Source organism: Homo sapiens, chromosome 2 (assembly GCF_000001405.40).
Source record: "Homo sapiens chromosome 2, GRCh38.p14 Primary Assembly".
NCBI lineage: Eukaryota > Metazoa > Chordata > Mammalia > Primates > Hominidae > Homo > Homo sapiens.
The window spans coordinates 167,181,662-167,202,961 of NC_000002.12; the positions used below are offsets into that span (position 1 = coordinate 167,181,662).

Here is a 21,300-nt window from a genome sequence, read left to right on the forward strand (position 1 = left end):
CTATAGTTCTTTCATTCATTCCTGTCTTTATTGTAAGGGATATGTCTGATCAAAATTATATTTATAGGACAGAGATGATCCTTTAAACACTGACGTAACTAGTAAAGAACAGTTTTACTTTTATTTTTTATATTGGGAGCCAGATCATTAGAAATCCTACTCAGTGTGTGCTCCAGTGGTGAGTCAAGACGGTCCACATTTGGCTCATTGGTCAGGTGTTTATGCATCCCTGTTTCCCCTGGACCATCCCAGCTTATGCCATTATGTTGGCATAGTTATTAATGGTGCTTTCTTCACTCCCCAAAGCCCCCTGGCTTGCATGATAAATTTATCACGGTCGCTCTACTTAACACTATGAGATATGATTTAAATATGAGTCATATGCCCAAAGACCTTATTCATACTTTATTAATACCATGATATAATTTTAATGGAATTAAACTTGGACAAGTGTAAATTATACCTGATTAAATTTAACTGCAATTCAATTACTAATACCCTAATTATGCTTACATGACACTTGAATGGGTCAATGGGTCATGCTACCTACAAGGGTCAAAGCAGATTGCCAAATCCTAATTGGTGGGCTAGTGTTTTGTGTATGCTAGCTAATAATATGAAACTTTCATATTCATATGTTTGCTCTTTAATTCTAAAAACCTTAGATGGGCCCCATTGGGTCAGAATTACATATCAGATGACTGAACTACAGTTGTCCCAGCATTAAAGTTCCCATACCTCCCCTGATAGTTCGCTTTGCTACCATGCAGAGACAGGGCCTTGCCAGAGCCTACCTATTGCAGGCCTACACTAAGAATTTATTATGGGGAAGAGTTGATCCCTCTCAAAACATATCACCCAACGTAGTGCTTGTATAGAACTTTTAGATTAAGGTCAGGATAAATAATATCCCAAATAATCCAAACATGTAGAGTCAGCAGAAATGAATTCAATTCCCACTTTTGCTGATTATTAACTTTTGTCCTTGGAGAAGTTATTTAACTTCACTCATCCTCAGTTTCTTTCTATAAAATGGTGAAAACACTAATATCTTGGGGTTGCTGACAGAATAAAAGAAAATAATAAAGGTAAATCACCTAATTAAATTGCTGGCACAATTTCTTTATAAAATGTAAATGGTTCTCTTAAAGGAAAATTAAAGAAAGAAAAAAATATTTACTACTTTTATTGGAAAGTTTTTATATTAATTAATGAACAAGAAAATAAACATGAGCCAAATCAATGTTGGTCTTTTATGTCAAAGAGAATAGTCTTCACCTAGCAAATGGTAGCACCAGCCAAAATAGAAAAGGGAGTGAATTCAAAATGTCTCATAGCCTAGAAAAGAAGCACATAGAATTTTGAAGTACCCTAACCAGATCAATTTTATTTCAGGTTATCAAGAACACCTACAAATAATGGATTCCTAAGTGGACCTAATGTCGTATATCAACTTAACCTAAGAGGGAAGTCTTTAGCAGTAGAAGGGCTTTGTATATGTTAGGGGCTCTGTTTTGCTAAATATCTTTCATTGTAGACTAGGATAAGACATAGATTGCAAGTTGTGAAGAAAGCAACTGTACTAGAAGGCAAAAGCAAGCTGTAGTAATGGGGTGGCACTGTTTTCATTCACTTAGCACAAAATGAACAAACATGAGAGAATGTAGATGTAGCTTGTCAAGGACAAATGCAACAAAGGTTTTAATGGAGTGTAGTTATATGATTCAATAATATCATACTGCTGCTGAAAATCTAGTGAGTACTTACTGATATTTAATAAAAAATATCCATACCCATGCTTTCTATTGTTTATCCATTTGTCTTCCAGATTAAAAGTTTTGTATTTTGCTATTTACAATCTGCTGTTAAATCTACCATTGATTTCTTAATTTCTGGTATTGTATTTCTCAAATTTTGAATATCTATTTCATTGTGATTTTGTCATTTTAATTTTCTCATGAAATTCTCTATCTTTTCATATGTTTTGTGTGTTATTTCTTATATTTTCTTAAATATATCAATTGTGATTATTTTAAAGTCCTTATCTGCTAATTTAAGTATCTACAACACCTGCTTCCTTGAAAAGTTTTTTTTTTTAGTATCAATGACAATATTCTGTCTCTTTGCATGCTTAGTACTTTTATAATTGAAAGTAAGCAGGGTGTATTCAAAAACAAAGCTGCAGATTGTGACCTTCGTCAGAGATATTAAATCTTTCCTCTGCTGAGCAGATAGAATGGAGAGCAGAGAGGCGCTGACCGCCTTAATTTATTTATTTATTTTTTTGAGAATCCGTGAGATCCTTTTCTCCTCAACATGGAGTCTGCAGGAATCCCTGCTCTATTTTCTGAGGTTTTTCAGCTTGGCTATTTAGCCTCACACCATGCGAAGCTTCCGAATTTGGCAAATGCTTTGAGGGGGAGATTGGCTGTGTTTGAATATACTCAAGGCACCAATTTTATCACTCCAAGCCTGATCAAATGCCAAAACCTTTGCTGGTTCATCTGTCTCCCATCTGCTAGGGCCAAGACAGATTTCTCAGCCTCCAGCTAAACCCAGATTATCAAGCCATTTCTAAAGACAAGCAGTTGTTGCACATTATTTTAGAGTCAGTATCCCTGTTATTTGAAGGCTTTCAACTGTTACCAGCCCTCCTCAGAGATACTTGTTTGTTAAGTAGCATGAAAATGTAGGCTATTCCACTTCACTTTTCTTGGGCTTTGTTTGGCCTTACGATTGTATCCTGCTATCCTGTGAAATTTTGGAATTTAGGAAACATCTTAGACAGAAAATAGAATTTGAGATCCCTCGCTTCTTCAGTTTTGTTGCTCCAGTCCCATGGAATTGCCAAAGGTTCTGCTGTTTTTCTGTTTCCAGCAGCAGTGTTCTCCACGGACCAAGCCCAGATTCTCAGGCTCCACCTGCATCCAAAATTGACAAAGACCCCCAAGAACAGCCTCAAATCCTCAACTTATATTTGTAAGGTTCTCGTCTTTCTTGAATTGTACTGCTTCTGGGTCTCATTGGTTTGGCTATCTCTGATGCCTTACATATATTATCTCTGCAATTGATGTCACTTTCTATTTGTCTTCCATGACAGCATTGGCCTGATGCTAATTACTAGCATCATCCCACTAGAAGAACTTAAGTAAGTTTCAGTCAAGTACAATACAGGTTGTAATAGGTGGAGGTATCTAGGCACTATCTATATCAGATTAGATAGGGAGTAAAATTTTCAATTTGAATGTACTAAGTTTTGTGATACAAGGGATCACCTTATGAATCTTTCTGCCTTTATATCTGTCTGTCTGTCTATCATGCATCCATCCATCTACCCGTCATTCATCTGTCTTGCTTTCATAGTGGTTTCATAATAATTGATTAAACTGTTATTAAATGAAGAATGAAATTTAGTGTCTAAAACCACTGTAATAATGAATGGTCAGAATCTAGGTCCTGATGTTTTCATTGTCTTCATGACTAAAATGAATGAACCAAATTACGTGATCACTAATTAATTTTATGACTGAACATTTTTGCTTGAACTTAGGTCAGTTAATTTATGTGTGCTCCTGTAGATTTAACATTTATTGCTCTTAATTATTACCAATTATTATACAGTGTTCCACCAAGGTTTCTTTTCCTGACCATTTTTTGTTGGTCTTAATGTATAATCATTGGGTTTTTGTACTAATATATACATTAGAAAATTTATTATGAGAAAAAAGTGAAAAAATAATATTTAATGTATATGTATTTTTATCAAATACACTTTTTTCCTGAAAAATCAAAAACAGCAAGTTTGAAGAAAAGTTATCATGAGTGAAACTTAAAGAAACATATCAATAAAATGGAAAGAGTAAGCAGTGAGTTTTTAATAAGGAGAGAGAAGGTGGGGAAGCTAGAAGTCAGATCTTTGAGTAATTAACAACCTTTAAAAAGAGTAAAATCACCATAAGCATCATTAGCAACTATATGCAAATATAAGAATAAAATTGACTATGTTTACATTGTAGGATCTATCTCCTCATAATTTAAATTGAACTATTGTGATTTCAGATCCAGTACCATTTTCTTTTGCATATAGCAAACTAAAGTAATAATTATTTTCTATGTAAATGTTATGTTGGAGTAATAACAATGTAAGTATAATAATTAATTTATCTATATTATCTCATTTCATCTTCATAACACCAATGGAAGGTTGGTCAGCTTAGTCCCATTTAGTCACAGATGAATAAAGTGAAGCTTAGACAACTTATGAAACTTGCCCAGGTCACAGAGTATATTACTGTCAAAGCTATGTTGAAATTCTGTGATTTAAATCAGTATTGTCCAAGAGACCTTTCTGCAATGTTGGAAATGTTTTATATCTGCACTAATACATAGCTACTATCCACATGTGGAGACTGATTTACTTGAAATGTAGCCAAAGAACTGAATTTTTAATTTTACCTAATTTTGATCAATTAAAATTTAAATGTCTACATGTGCTTAATAGCTATCATACTCAGAAGCACAACTCTAAATAATTAGTCTATACTGGCTCCTGGCCCTGAACACTCTTGTGGAGTATATAGAACACTATCTCAGAAAGTTGTTCTTAGAGTTAATATGCTGGAATATCACTCCTTGACCTACTTTTAACAGAAACCAATATTGTATATGGAAAAATGTAATATACCTACTGATTTTATTAGTAAGTATTATAGTAAACAGCTTACAAATAGGCATTTTATATGAAATAGAGTATATAGGTCAGGTGTTTCTTTAAGCCAAAGGGCAATTTCCTTTCTTTATTTGAGTTTGTCGTTAGGCCACACCACATTAGGAAAATCACAGAAGGGAGGAAAGATAAAGGAAGCTGGTTATTTTCTATTTACTGAGAATGTATGAGATGTTGTCATTTTTGAGCTAAATGGCAATGCTCATTGGGTTCTGGGTCAGATTGGCAGCATGTGTTTGGTAAGTCCTGGCAGCAAAGGACATTTAATATGATTCTCTCAGGAGCACGTGAGGTGACTCCTTTTCCCTGCTTGCTCTTCCTCATGCTGAATGATTTAAAGCCAATATTAATGAGCAGGACTCACACAGCAAGGGTGCTCTCTATTCTCTCTAGAATTCCTTTCCACCATTCTTCCTTGTTTTTTTTTTTTTTTTAACTAAACCAGCACAGCCTTTACTTAAGCCAACACTAGAGTAGTGTTTTGCTTTATATGTGAAGCCTTAAAAAACAAACTAATGTTTTACATATCTAAGAACATTTTGTCAAAGAAAAGCAATGTCTCCTCTTCCCAAGAATTCATGTTAATTATTGCACCAGAATAAATGGAAACTTTTTCCACCTGCTTTATTTTCATATTCTTGACTCTTAAAAGATTGAAAGTATTAAAACAAATGCAAGTAATTCCGGAACTTTAATCCATCCTTTTCCTCATCGGCACTGGTTCATTTGTAGCCTTTATACAGAAATTCAGAGTTGGCTGGTGGTCGTGGCTGTGGAAGGGAGTTTGATTGACTGCACATGTGTTAGAGCCATGCATACATTACTGAGGGCACTATGAGGCAGAGTGGCCTCAGAGACACTCTTCTTAAAAGAGTGGTTGACTCAGGCCCCACCTATACAGAGCTCAGTTCCTAAAAATAGGTGCCAAGTTGCATCCTTTAGACGCTCTGCTAAAATAAATTCAGCCGTCCCATCTACTTGCTTGATAGACCCTTCAGTGGAGCGGGCCTCCACTGCACCCATTGCTTTCAGGGGACTGGGAAATTGGCTGTACATGAAACAAGGGAGGAAGCTAGTCTGTGAAGAACTATAAAGATATATGATATTTCCACAAACTTGGGGTTAAACCTAAATATCATAAAAGGTAAGTGTAATATAGTCATTGACTATATGTCTGCTTCCTGGATTGTAAAATGTTCTCACTGGTTACTTAAGGTCAATGAAGACCATAGGTCAAATTGTAATCATTGTAAAAGAAAATATCCAGTTGGATTTTGCTTCTATGATAATATTTAGCATTGATTTAATAGGATAAAATTTAGAGCTTCATATGTTAGTGTCTTTGCAGAATAGCATTTTTCATATTTAATATTGAAGAATAATGAGCCAAACTTGATAAACAGTCATGAGTTAAAATTATACTTCAACTTACAAATAAGAGGGAAAGCACAGAAAAAAATTAGTTTGTCATTTATGAGCAGAAATGTAATGAATATATTTAAAACTATAAATTGTATTTCTTGGAATTTGTTGAGGGAAAGGAAGAGTTTACAACATTTTCAACTGTTACAGCTTGCTCAAAGAAATGCATGAAAATTATTCTTTTTCAGCCTTACTTTGCTTTTGTAGTTCTTGCTCCAGCCAGAGTCTCATCTCCTCTGGGAGTATTACTGGAATAAGACTAAAGAATCAGGTTCTTACATGTTTTGCAGAATTAAGAAAAGCACTGCCAGTTGGATCTGCCAGTCCTAATTATAGTAACTACAACCTTAAACAGAGAAGACTGAGATTTTACTTTAAAGATATCATGCCCTATATACTGTTTCAAATGGATTTTTCTTCTGTCTTCGATTGCCTGTGAACACCTTAATTTGGTCCTGTCGGGCCTTAAATGTTTAGATGTTAGAGACTGAAGTGATTTGGAAGAGACGTGATAACAGAATCTCTTAAGACACCAACTAAAAGCAAGGACACTTTAAGATTACATAATACAGGGTTTAAATTTAGCCAGCTGGTGCTGAACCAAAAGATATTTTATTTTTACCAGTGCTCTATTTGGTCACTGACAAGCTGTAGTTTGTTTGAATTATTTTAAAATTTTATGTACAGTGCACCAAAGGACAGGCAAAATATTTACCTTGGCGACATTCAGAGCCATGAATTTTAATATGAAAGAGCACCTGTTTTGAGTTTTAGAAGATAAAATTATTGAGTGGCAAAACTATTGGGTCAGAAATGAGAAAACTGAATTCTATGCTTAAGTATTTCTCTGCTCCTCTGCCTAATCTTTGAGTATTTTTTCTTCTTGCTAGCAACATATAAACTAACAACTAGGTCCATTTCTAAAAGTCAGTCCGCATTTCAGATGCCTGCACTATGGCAAAGTGCCAACTGTTTGGGAAAAATGCAGTCTGGAGTTTGGACTAAATGTTTTTGCTTTCATCTGGTGTTGGGCATCTTTAAGATACAGCTTCCCTCAACCACCTGAAAAATAAAATGAGACATTCTTTAATGATCTCAGAGGCTTCACTTGGGAAAATGTTCATGGAAAAATGTCAGTTTGGGCATCATTTCTTCTGTGATTACAGAGGAAGAGGAGAGTGTTGCCTTTCTTCAGCTTTAATTTGAGGTTAAAAGCCCACAAGGTTCATTGATAATGTACTGTTGTTCACAGTTGATAGCTTCCCACTATTCTCAGTTCCAGCCTCTCCCTTTACCTTTACCATGTTTGAAAAACTTCTCCACCTTAGTATTCTTTTTACTTACTTGGTAAAATACTACTTATGATTAGGCAATGTGGAGTTGGGCACTCCTGGTAACTTCAATACTGGGAACCGATATATTTCTGTCTCTCTCTTTCTCTCTCTTGTGCTCTCTCTCTCACACACACACATACACACAACTCTGGGTATTAAAAGAGACCATTTTTGTAAGACTTGTTTGATAGCCAGGAGTCATGTCTAGATTTATTAATTTATAGAACAGGGCAGACACTTAATAAGTGCCCAGCAGTGTAATTCCAAGATTTTTGATTGAACGATCTGTGAAGACAGAACTTAATTGACATTATATTGTCTTTTTTATTTGTTTCCCACCTCCTCTTATGAAAGCATTGAAGTTACACTTTGAAATTTAATTAAATTGTAATGTGTTTCTTCCTGTTTCTGAAACAAACACTTGCTCATTCACATAACAGGTTCATCCCTCACAGAACGGTTACTTCACCTTTTCTAATTAATTAATGACTTTTTTAGAACACTGATTTATTCCATATAGGTGCATGTTGTTTATATGACTGTGTGGCATGTTGTATTATCGGTTTTCTGACACTAATTCTGATATTAAGTGTTGTGTCTTTTCCAACACCAACCAATTCTCCAACTCTCTGACACCAACTGGCTGTCCTACAGTTCAATTCAGTTCGGACACTAGGTCCAGGACTCGGCAAAGACTCCACAGGTTGAAGGCTCAGTCCCATGAGGCTGTCCACTTCACAAGACAGCCACTAATGGAGTGCCCAGGCCACCAATCTTTCTGCCAACCTGACTAGTGATTAAGGGGTCCCCACAACTCCCTCCTCAGATGATTGGCTAGAATGGCTCACAGAACTCAGAAAAGTGTTCTATTTGTTATTACTCGTATATTATAGAGGCTATAATTCAGGAACAGACAGATGGAAGAGATGCATAGGGCAAGGTATGGCATTAAAGGGCAGAAGCACACAGCTTCCTTGCTTTCTTCTAACGAGCTATCCCCAGCACTTGGATGTGTTCACCAGTCTGGCAGCTCACCAAACCCTGTCCTTTAGGAGTTGTTATGGCGGCTTCATTACATAAGGCATGAGTGACTAAATCATTGACCATTGCTGATTGAACTCAATCTCCACCTCTCTGTTCTTTTCAGAGGCCAAACATGGGGTTGAATGTTCTAATCCTCTAATCACTTATTGTTTTTTCTGGCAACCAGCCCCTATCCTGAAGCTACTCCCCACCCCTACCCCCCACTCCTGACTGCCAAGAGTCATTCCATTAGCATAAAAAAGTCATTCTCGGGAGACTCCAGGGTTTCTATGCCAGGGACTGGGGACTAAGACCAAATATGTATTTCTTATTATAACATGTATTATTATGTCCACAATATGGTCTTCTCCTTTGACATGATACCTATGAATTCCAGAGTAAAAATTTCTTACTATTTATTTTCCTAGTCATTGGAATCCACCTCTTACAAATTTAACTAAACTATTTTTCCATTTGTATAATATAATCAGTAAGAGCACAAAAAACAATGACAATTAGGCAATGAAAAGAGCAGGTTTTGGTTTCTTGAAAAAGTTGAAAATCAGCAAATGCAATCAATTACGTGTATGAGTTTTTCACAACAATGACAATGTGGCCATATTTAATGACTCTTGGGGCTTTGTAGCATAAATAATGGCATAAAAATAACCTACCAGTGAGCACCACAGAAGGTAATCCACATTCTTGGTAGAATAGTTTTCCTTTTTAAATGTTCCAAAGATAAAAGAAATTTATTGGCCATGGTGGCTCACGCCTGTAACCCCAGCACTTTGGAAGGCCGAGGCAGGCAGATCTCTTGAGCCCAGGAGTTCGAGACCAACCCCATCTGGACAAAAAATACAAAAAATTAGCTGAGCATGGTGACATGCATGCCTGCAGTCTCAGCTACTTGGGAGGTTGAGGTAGAAGGATCACCTGAATCTAGGAGGTTGAGGCTGCGATAAACCATGATCGTGCCACTGCACTCCAGCCCGGGTGACAGAGTGAGACCCTGTCTCAAAAAAAAAAAAAAAAAGAAAAAGAAAGAAAGAAAGAAAAGAAAAGAAAAGAAAAGACATTGCTAACACAAAGACCTCAGTAACTAGTTCATTTAATGCCTTCAAATTCTAGATTAAGAAAGCTGAGGCACGGGAAGACTAGCTAGTAACTCATACATGGTTTAAGCACAGAGAACTAGAAACTAACTGTCTTGATTTGTTTCTGTACTTCATGTCATTTATATCATTTTGCAAATCTTTGTGCCAAAAGACATCAACCCAACCCCAGCCCACCCCCATGACTCCGGATACATTTCCAAGTATATCTTGAAAGGCCTTGTTTTTCTTGCAGTAGCTTTTTGTGGCTTTTCATTTTGCATTTCATGTTTCTCTTGAAATTAGGACAAATTGTGGAAAAGGAGACCTGTCTGCATATTCTGTTAAAACTTGAAAGATGATGACTGGCTTATTTTTAAATTTTACAAAGCATGTAAATTTGTTCATCTTTGTTAGCTGAGATTCTGCCCCAAAACCCCACTCTCATCACTGGACACATCACTTTTCACTACTCTTTTTTTGGCAGGCCTTCAAGTAGATCTTTGTCTTTTACATTTTTCGAATAGTATGCAGATTATATCCTTGTTGCCTGGTGAACCTAATGCCTTAGATAGGTCTGACTGTTCAAAAGTAAGGAATTGCCAAATTGCTCCCGGCATACGTATCACTTAAAATAAATGTAATACCAAAAGAGTTTATTGTGGGAAGTTTCTCTGTTATTCAAAGATCCAATGCATCTTCCCCTAAAATCTGAATATATCTGCATGTATATTTGTAAATGAGTTAATTTGATAGTTATCAACATAGAAAAGCTTTTTTAAAAAGCACGTATTAGCATTAATTTTAAAAGCACAGTCTGGCAATATAGTTTCAAAACATTTTCTCGGTGTTTTCCATTTCAAGTTTAATGTGGACTGAATATCAAATAATTTTTGAATAGCAATACTATACTATGTTATATTATTTTTAATTCATAGGAACTTAATTGCATTGAAATCAATTGTAAATAGATCTCACATTATAAAGTTACTGGGTTTTTTAAAACAATGAACATTAAATTTTGATAAGTAGAGTCACATTTCCCCCCATTTAATTGCTTTGTAACTTCATGGGTAATTTATCAATATCTCTGTCGTTGATTTTGTGTTTGTTTGCTTTGATTCAGCACTGCCCTAATAAGTCACCTTCATATTATCTAACTAGTAAGCCATTGTGACAAATAATTAGCAGTTTGTAAACAACAATAGAACTGAGTGCTCCTGGGAGAGAGTGAACTATGTTTTTGTAAAGCTAAAGATTACTCTTTGGTTTGTGTCTTGCAAGTTGGAGTTTTTTAATCTGGACTCAAGGGTCATATTATCAAATTGGTATATTCTTGGAAAAGGACAGAATGAAATAAGCATGTTCATGTTATTAAAATTCTGTCAATTCCAGTGACAAGCTTGATTTAAAATCCACCACCTCTGCTTCTGCGGCATCCAGAGCTATTTTCCTGGGCACTGCATAGGGTAGAAGTCAGCTACCAGTGTGGGGTCCAGCAGCAGTTTCCAACTGGAACTCAGGAAATAGGACAAGGGAGGCACTGAGGAAAAGCAACTGGCAGCAATCAACAGCTTGATCCCCTCCAGTTTTCCTCCGTAGCATCTCAGTTTGCTCAGAGCGAGCACAGAACTTCATTAGAGCCTTGACTTCGCTAGTAGAAAATATGCTAGTCCTCTGAGTCCTGGAGGACTCAAAACATTTATTTTTAGGAATGGAACTGTACTAGTGCATGCCCGCTTTCAGTCACTGACTGATTCTGGAATGGAAATAATTCCAAGATTCATCATCCCTTCATCATCCAGATCTGGACAACAGCCTCAACTTTTACTCTGCAAAATTTCAGGGAAATGAAATTTGGAAGGCATGAGTTTGCATTTAAGTCACACCCTTTGGTTTCTCAAAAGATCTAGTTCAGCTATAGCAGTTGTCAACTCTAAATTACTAGTTATAGTTCCTAATATCCACCCTTTAAATAGAAGCAATAAGTTGCCTCAAACTTCAATTTGCACCTCTTTCATTTACTTCACAATTTCAAGCCAACCAGTCACAGCTTCTTGACTTTGTCCCTATGTTATGTTATTGCCATTTCTTTCAGTTATCCTCATATATACACCAATGTGTATGTATGTGAATGTGTATGTGTATACATATATATTCTTTCCTGTAAAGCATAGTGCTGCCTATGCTTTTATATTGTTCTCCATTTCTTCCATATTCTCAAAGTCCATTTAGATGTTCAAAGAATGATGAATAGCCCTCAAATAACAACCAATAACCACAATATCACCCATAATAACATCTCTTTTTACTCTTCGTTAACCTTGAGTAGAGAGGCTGGGCATGGTGCCTCACACCTGAAATCCCAGCACTTTGGGAGGCTGAGGGAGGTGAATCACTTGAGGCTAGGAGTTCAACACCAGCCTAGCTAACATGGGGAAACCCCATCTCTACTAAAAATACAAAAATTAGCCAGGTGTGGTGGTGCGTGCCTGTAATCCCAGCTACTCGGGTGGCTGAGGCAGGAGAATCACTTGAACTGGGGAGGTGGAGGTTGCAGTGAGCCAAGATCATGCCACTACACTCCAGCCTGGGTGACACAGTATGAGACTCTGTCTCAAAAAAAAAAAAAAAAAAAAATTCAGTGAGATACTGACACAGTATCTTGTAATTATTTGTATTGAGGAAGTGTCAAACTAAATTATAATAATAATAGCACAAGTTTCCTATAGGCTTATTCTTCCAGGGGTGGATATATAAAAGGAGTTTCAGGGGTTGATATATAAATTTTCATTGTTGATACCATCTTTCCCTTTTCTTTTCTTTTTTCTTTTTTTTTGAGATGGAGCCTCACTCTGTTGCCCAGGCTGGAGTGCAATGGTATGATCTCGGCTCACTGCAACCTCCGCCTCCTGGGTTCAAGTGATTCTCCTGCTTCAGCCTCCCTAGTAGCTGGGATTACAGGCATGCACCACAACACCACCTAATTTTTGTATTTTTAGTAGAGACGAGGTTTCACCATGTCGGGCAGGCTAGTCTCAAACTCCTCACCTCAGGTTATCCACCTGCCTCAGCCTCCCAAAGTGCTGGGATTACAGGCGTGAGCCACCACACCTGGCCCATCTTTACATTTTGATCAATCCTTAAAATTAGAAAAATTTCACAAATAATGTGCTGTTTTTCTCTTTCTCCCTTTCCCCTTCCTTCGTTTTTATTTCATTTCTATTAATGACATCTGAACTATTTTCTGTAACCCCAGCATTATAACCAGCCTTGAAATGTATGAAGTGTTCTCAGTTTACCAGAATCACAGAAACATCATCTCCTAGAGCCAGAAGAGGTTCCAAATGAACTCCACGTAACACTTTACGGGAAATTAGAAAACACTGTCAGGTTAACTCTAACTGGTTGAACGCAGACTTTGGAACCAGACTGCCTAGTTTGAATTCCATCTCTTACCCTTACCTACTGATTGACCTTGGGCAAATTACCAACTCTGTGCCTCATTTCCTCATCTGACATCAGAGATACTAGTAGTATCTATCTCATAGTCTTATTTCAAAGATTAAATGAATTTATCTTTATAAAGTTCTAAAGCATCAGTCCCTGGCACATAGTAAGTGCTGTATAAGCTTTTGTTATTAATATTACTACTATTATTATTTACTATATGAGTATAATGTAACATAATAACTATTATCCATATATTCCAGGGAGCAAGATAAGAATGTAAAATAATATGTGACCCTATATGCTGAACATTGAAAACTGCAACACACTAAAAACCGTTTAAGAGAGAAACTGGTCTATGTGATTTAATAGGTTGTTGTGTTGTTAAAAACACCCTTATCTTTCACAGATGCACTCTTCAGCTCAAATTAAATTACTCTCCTCTCCTGGAGTTGTAGAAAGCTACTAAGTACCCCCTTCTTGTTATAATTGTTCTGACACTTGAAACAAATACACTTTCTGTTATCCTTGGTGATGTCAACATCATATTACTTCAAAAAACTGAATTCTTCAACCATCTCAACCCTAATGACTCCAGTCTCTTTCCTGACAAGGCTACTCGCAGCCACATTTTAAACCTTGTCAGTAATTTGACCTGGTTCTTAGACTCTCAATATATTCTCTCTGATCACAGTTTTCTTTCTCACATTTCTTCCACTCTTTCTTTTCAACTGAAACTGAGCTTGATCTTCAGCATAGTCTCCACATTCTTAGCATGTCCTGCACAGCAGCCCCTTCCAACTTTATTTACTTAATCTCTCCATGTCTTGAATCCACTCACAGCATCTGTGAAAAGATGGAAGAACTCTCACTCAGGAGCGAGGCACTGGAAGATGGGTCTGTGAAGACCAGACCGTTTATCATGGGAATCTAAAGGAGAGAGGGCAAAGAGAACCCAATAGTTGAAGAGGAAGCAAAAAAATCACAAGCCAGTGAAATGGCGCAATGCACCAGGAAAATCACAAGATCAGAAATCAGTGGGTATAGGGACAAGAAAGGTTGGAGCCTGCAATGGATGAGGGTATGCATTTCAAAACAAAGGCCAGAAACAATTCAGATGTGTTGAAAGCGTCTGACTCTGGGCTGCAGGAGTAGGTCTGAGAGCTTAATGGAGGGACGTTAGACCTAATGCCCACTCAGCCTGGGCCCTGCAGAGCTTCCATTGACCCCCGTATCACTCTGCCCCCAATTCTGGCTAAATCCATCAAACTGAAAACCAATTCAACATTTTCCCATAATGTGCTACTTTTGCTCCCATTCCCAGGCTGCTGTGTGTGTGTGTAAAGAGAGAGAGATTCATAGTTCTGCACATAAGCTAATACTCAACATCATTTATTCACCTTTAACTGACTCTTTATTATTATACATTTGTCATTTTTCCTGAAAATCCCAAATGTTCTCTATGATAATATACAACTGGAAAATTTAAGACTGGAAATAAGTTTGTGGGTAACATTTTTAAGCCATGTTACATTTTAAAAGTTTGGGCAACATACGATTAGAGATTAAATAGTTACTAGAGATGTGCATTAGGTGTAATACGGATGAAGCTGAGATCTGATGGAGTGTGTGTGGTAAGACAAAAAAAGGAAGACTGGGGATGGAGCCCTGGAGTCTATACATGGTTGGGTGTCAAGAATTTTGTGTGTGTGTGTGTGTGTGTGTGTGTGTGTGTGTGTGTAGACTGGCCACGATAGATGAGTGTTATTTGTGTGTCTAGTCACTTACCAAATCTATGCTCAGGTTTGACACTTTAAAGAACGACACAGAGAGAGCTGCAAAGCATCAGCATTTTGTGTTCCTCCTTCTGTGAGGCTTTCTGTAACGGCAACCTAGTGTCAGGATTAGCGAGGTTTGTGACATTTCCTGAGGCCCTGCACTGCTGGTGAATGGGACATAGGGCTTTGTGCCACATCTGCTTTCCTTGGCAGGCTTCCAACTCAAGAGTACACTGGGACATCCTGAAAACCTACTGAGGTCTTCTTCCTAGATCCCACAAAACTAGGAGGATATTGCTTCTGATTAAATGGTCCTCCAAAGAAAAATGTGGCTGGGGGTGGGTTGGTTGTGCGTAGGTATGTGTGTGGAGTGGGGTGGGTGTTTTCATGCCTGTCTGTACTTAGCTCACTGGGCTGGGGAGGCTAGTTATTTTCTTCTGGACTGAAATATGATGGAGACATGAATGTATTTGGAATTTTTTAGCCATAACGTTTCTCATTGCTTTGTGCAGCTATATAATAATGAGAAATTTTGGCAGAAGTTACATTTGGCAGAAAGCCCAAAATTGACTGGTTTCACTTTCCAAGCAAACATTTTTGCACAGTTCTAATTTTCACCTGCTCATGTGGTACCCTGCTGAGACTTTTGGGTGAAGAGCTGAATTTCTTTGTGGGAGAGTCACAGGTTTACATGCAAGACATTTATTTTTGCTCCTTCCTGGAAGCTGTAATTCCAACTTTCACATAACTTCTCAATGTTGCTTAATAACTTCTATTGCAGAATTTAAAACTTGTTTTCTACACTTCAAAAAAAGTAGGAGAGAGAAAGTAACAAAATCTGCCAATGAGAACCATGAAAAGACAAGCATTAACTTTTGCAATATTATTTCAAGACAAATTCATTCAACAAATGCTTAATGGGCACCCACTGTTTATATGTCAATATGTTAAACATTAAATACTTGTGAAGTTGACTATTTTAATCTCAACTATCAGTTTACTTCTCGGTGATCTAGAAATTTTAGTTCTAGATAAAAACAGAAATTTAGTAACCAGTTCTGCAAAAATATTAGGGAAGTCTCTGCCACTCACTATTAGGGAACATACAAGCATATTATTTTTGAAAATATTTTCTATTTTTCCCACCCTTGCATGTAAGGAGCCTGAAACGAGCATTTCTGGCCACTGTGTGGTGACCAGCCTTCCATATTCACAGCTTCTTTAACACTGTGAAAGCCTAGTTTCATATGGAATTTGGCAAAGAAACCCAATTGCTTTTTACATTCCGTCCCAACTTTCCTCCCCTTATCTTCTACTTCACTTGAGTTTAAATACCATTGGTGTAGGAAGATTTCTGTTTGCAAGTGTTAAATTCTTTGTTGTTAAATTCATCACTGATGTATCTGTCTTAATGTGCACGGGAAAAATCAGGTTTCAATTTGAATAACATTTAATAAAAATAAGTTTGCCCTTTAAAAACAGGAGTAAAATAAACAGCATAAATGCGTTCTTCCATGTATGGTACATTTATAGCATTAGGTTTTGAATCTGAGAGAAAAGAAACAAATGCCTATGTCAAATTTTTAAAGATAAATAACTGTAAATAAATTAAGGGATGACGATACTGACTAATTATACACTCCATGTGTATCATAAGCAAGGAAGACTATTAAATTACTTCCACTCTTTGGACTGTTCCTAGTACCAGCATATCATTAGGAAACTGACATCATCTCTTTCTTTTGAAATTACGTGCTGCATTTATAGGCAAAGGGTATTTGGGTCATGTTACTGGTTACAGAGGAGAGTAACCCAGCATCTGATTGCATCAGAGTTTTGATACATTAAAATTATTATAGTTTTAATATGTAAACATTCCTGTTCTAAATTTTTTAAAAACCTGTTTAAGATGTATACAACATTATTCAGTGTCCCTTAGAATTATGAAAGAGAGGAATCAAAATGCAGTTGTGAAAGTACAAATATATGAACAAGAGGCCAATTACCTTTTCACTTAAAGCACATTAGAAAAACATAAAGCTTTGGTGAGAATAATGGTGTCCTACATTGATTCTTAACATTTCGGTTTAACATTAGCCAGTTAAGTAGAAATTTTATGTTCCTACTCAAGATGAAGTAATTAAAGGCCACATTGTTCTGAAAGTTTTCAAGGTTTGAGATACTATTTTTCAAAGTACATCACTGCTCTGAAAGAGTGAATTTACTTCCAGAAGAGTAGGTTATTCACCAAGCCATGCTGCATTATTTCAGCATTTTCACTTTCCTTCTTGATTGCTTCATTTTCCCAAATAATGTTCGGTAAAGAAAGTGTGTTGAATTAGTGTGGCTTCCTTTCTTTGATCAATTCTATCAGTCATTAAGTTCAAAAGAAAAAATATCAAAGTATGCTGCTGTTCGTGGACTTAGGCAGAGAAAGCATTTTAAACAAAGACTTGAGATCATTGAAAACAGTTTGTGTAAATTCAAGGATTGATTTTTCTAAGACAAAAATTGGATTGAATTAAATACATTTTATTATTCAAACAAGAAGTGTGATTAGTAGGAGAAAAGCTGCCAGGGTGTCATGTATAAGTTGGTGAGAGTTGGATTTGATGATCTGGGCTTTCTTTTAATATCTTTTGTCAAAATAAATTTCAGATGCTAACCTTAAAAGAGGGATGAAAGTTGGGATGAAGGTGAAGAGAGGAAATTCCTAAAACACATTCAGATACCTCTAGTTCCTACAGAATGCTTTTAGCACAAAAATGATTTAAGGTAATAATCAGTAAATGATTAACATTCCTACCTCTGTGTACATTCAAACAACTTAAAGATAAGCCTGCCAGGAAGACACTTTTCAAAGCCACAGATTATTAAAGCTTAATCTCCATTACATTACCTTGGCGTATTTTTTGCTCTGTTGAATGCCAACAGCATACTTGGAATTAAACAAAACAGTTCACTACACATGACCCAGCTTCATATGGAATTTTACAAAGCCTATGAAAGAAAGGGTTGATCATTTGAGGAAAAAGATTTTAAGCTAGTATGCACAGGTCATCCCCATCTACCAATGCACTGCTTTGACCCAGAATTAAATCACTTTCTGTGTATTCTGGAGGCCATAATTGTTTTAGGGGCACTAGTGGATATTTTAACCAGTCCCTCAGAGGCACGCACACTTTCTATTAATCATAGACTGAGCCTGCCTACCGTCTCTCCATGGCTGAGGGGTGAGCACATTTGCTTGCTGTTTCTCAAGTTTTCATTCCAGCTTAGACAACCAGAAAGAAGATGACATTCTCGCCACAAGGGCACAGACCCTTAGTAACTAAACCACACATAAAGGAGGATCTGGAAAGCTGAGAATCACAAGGAAGTTTGGGAAAAGGAAAAGCACAAATGAAGCGGTAGGAATGAAAAAGGGATACATTAGAAAATTAGGGTCAGAAAAAAAAGTTATGTCAAAGAGGTAGCAATTCTGTAAGAAACAGAATTATGTAGAATGATATGAAATTTTTGGATTTTCTAAAACAGAGACTTTAGAAAGAATAGGATAGCAACTAGTTTAAATAGAATGAGTAATGAAATTAAATAGAAAGGAGATGCGTATTCAAACTAACCAAACATAACAATATATTTAGGGGTTTTCCTCACAATGTAGAGTTTTTCAACACATGGGTACTAAGCACAGTAACGGTAGAATGAATCATCAATGAAGGATACAGTTTCCTTCTCTTTACCTTTGGTAGGTTGCCACAAAGCAGCAGGGACTTAAAGACTGGCCTAGTGATCACCTGGGCTGGTCTAGGTCACGGCCAGTGTTCACTGTGCCGAGCCTATTTCTCAAAGGTCCCATAGCAAATTTTTAAAGTGAGTAACTTTGAATGACGATTTTATGATTTTACCTAAAAAACATAGAGCAGGAAAAAAACATGAGGAACCATTAAGGGGGCGGGGTGGAAAGAGCAGATCTGTCTCTACAGTGTAACGTGCTAGAGTGATTTTCATGAACTTTACATTTCCAGTGGACTTTCATGTTGCTTGTCAGTGAAAAATTGGTGGTTCACGGCCTAGTGCCAAAACCACAGATAAACGAACACTTTACATGTCATATACATTCATAAAACCTGTTATATTTATCTTTTTAGAAATAAGGTCAGATCAATACTGTATTTCTTGAGAATCTTTCTAGTGTTATTCTTTTTTTTTCCTCTTCAAATGGAGCATGACTGACTATAATGGTGATTAATTTGTCTCCAGGTCTGACAACCATGCCTAGCCGACAGTAGCTGGGAAGTAGATGTTTATAGAATGCAGGACTAAAGCCCTAAGAGGAAAATGTACCATATACCTGCCGGGTGTGGTGGCTCACGCCTGCAACCCCAGCACATGGGGAGGCCAAGGCAGCTGTATTACTTGAGGCCAGGAGTTTGAGACCAGCCTGGCCAACATGGTGAAACTCTGTCTCTACTAAAACTACAAAAATTAGCCGGGTGTGGTGGCGGGTGCCTGTAATCCCAGCTACTAGGGAGGCTGAGGCAGGAGAATTGCTTGAACCTGGGATGCAGAGGTTGCAGTGAGCCGAGATCATGCCACCGCACTCCAACCTAGACAACAGAGTGAGGCTTTGTCAAGAAAGAGAGAGAGAGAGAGGGAGGGAGGGAAAGAGAGAGAGAGAGAGAAAGAAAGAGAGAGAGAGAAAGAAAGAAAGAAAGAAAGAAAGAAAGAAAGAAAGAAAGAAAGAAAGAAAGAAAGAAAGAAAGAAAGAAAGAGAGAGGGAGAAAGGAAAGAAGGAAGGAGGGAGGGAGGGAAGGAAGGAAGGAAAGAACGAAGGAAGGAAGGAAGGAAGGAAAGAAGGAAGGAAGGAAGGAAGGGGAAGGAAGGGCAGGAACGGTACCATATACCTTCAGTATATACCTGTGATGCGGATTTAGACAAGGGGACATTTGGATGAAAGCGCGACACCACCTCCCATCCCCTGGAGCACAGTAGATCACTTGAAAATGAGACCAGTGGCCCCTGCTTTGCATTTTCCCTTCCTTGCAGTTAAGTTTATTCCCTTCTCTGTTCAACTGGACCTATCCCTAACCCCTTCTTAAGTTTGATCTCTATGGTGACCAAAGCAATATAGCTGAGGAATTTGCTTTGATTTCTAATTCTAAACTCAAGCTTGTAATAATGAAAAACAGCCACTGATAGCTGTGGAAATTCAGCTTATTTATTTCCCTTTGATTTATCCTTAGATTATGCTGAAGTCAATGTCTAGAAAGGATTTAAGTGCATATATTTTAGGAAGCAGAAAAGAGTTTCATACCCTTAATTAAAAATTTACCTTGAAATAAAAATGTTATATTTTAATGAAAATATATTTACGTAAGAGACTGTGTAGAGTTGAAAGTTGTATGCAGAAATACTTGAAATCAACTCCGGGTTCAGCTACTTGCTATATGATATTATCTTCTGAGTGTTACTTCCTCAACACTAAAATGGGAATAAACCACCCATCATATATGGTTGTTATGAGAATTAATGGGATAATACATGTAAAATAATTAACACATTATGTTCATTAACTGATAGCTATCATTATTATAATGTAATATACGTCTGATTGTACTAGAGAAATGTCCAACAAGAGACTTATGCTGTAAAAATATGCACACTCTACAGGCATTTGTAATGATTCTAATTTATTAGACTAGTTCAATGAAATTTAAGTCATTTTATTCAATTATTGATTTTTTTAACTGGCCAAATCTCTAAGCTAACCAATTAATTTAAAAATGTTTAAGAGCAGTATGATTAGATTTTCGTATATGCCCAAACTAGCAATATTTTTATACTAATGATTACCTAACTTCTGATTAAATTTTCTTAATTCATAACTGCTCTAGTACCAGAAGTACTTCCTATGAGATGATAGGAGCTGCAAAAGACACAGGACATGTCTATAGAAAAAGAAGTGACAGCAGGTAGAAATAACAGTCCTATTATTCAGAGAGATTTGAATCTAAATGGACACTTAGAGTCTTATCAGGTAGGCGGACATTTCTTTTTTGGGACATAAAGAGTAATTTCAGAGATGGCTCCATCACATAGTGGTTTGTGTATTTACGTGTCTGTGCAATTTAGGGAGCTGGAACTGAAATGTGCCTTTAAAAGTATCCAGTATGTAGCAATTTGTGACTTGGACAGACACATGTATGTGTACAGTGAATGCTTGTATCAGTTTCCTGTTGCTGCTGCAAGAAATTACCAAAAAATGCAACAGATTCCAATAGCACTCATCTATTATCTTACAGTTCTGGAAGTCTGAAGTCCAAAGTGGGTTTCACTGAGAAAAAAGTAAGGTGTTGGCTGTGCCAAGCTTCCTCCAGAAGCTCCAGGGGAGAATCTGCTTCTTTGCCCTTCCCAGGTTCCAGAAGCTGCCTGTATTCCTTGATTTGTGGACCTTATTCCCATCTTCGAAG

General features: G+C 37.0%; 1 protein-coding gene across 6 annotated transcripts in view; it reads left to right on the plus strand.

Annotated features, from left to right (window-relative positions):
• XIRP2 (xin actin binding repeat containing 2) overlaps positions 1-21,300 on the plus strand; it is a 371,274-nt gene that overhangs the window by 293,182 nt on the left and 56,792 nt on the right. For 3 of the 6 annotated variants that reach the window (NM_001199144.2, NM_001199145.2, XM_017003309.2), the window contains exon 1: positions 5,711-5,870. The exons of 2 other annotated variants lie outside the window; for them this stretch is intronic. Coding sequence is in view for 1 of the 4 variants with exons in the window: in NM_001199143.2 (NP_001186072.1) it covers positions 2,881-2,979 (99 nt within the window). In the remaining 3 variants the exon portion in view is untranslated. Of the gene's footprint in view, positions 1-2,880; positions 2,980-5,710; positions 5,871-21,300 lie in introns of those variants that run through there. One more of the 6 variants, NM_001199143.2, reaches the window with a different exon arrangement.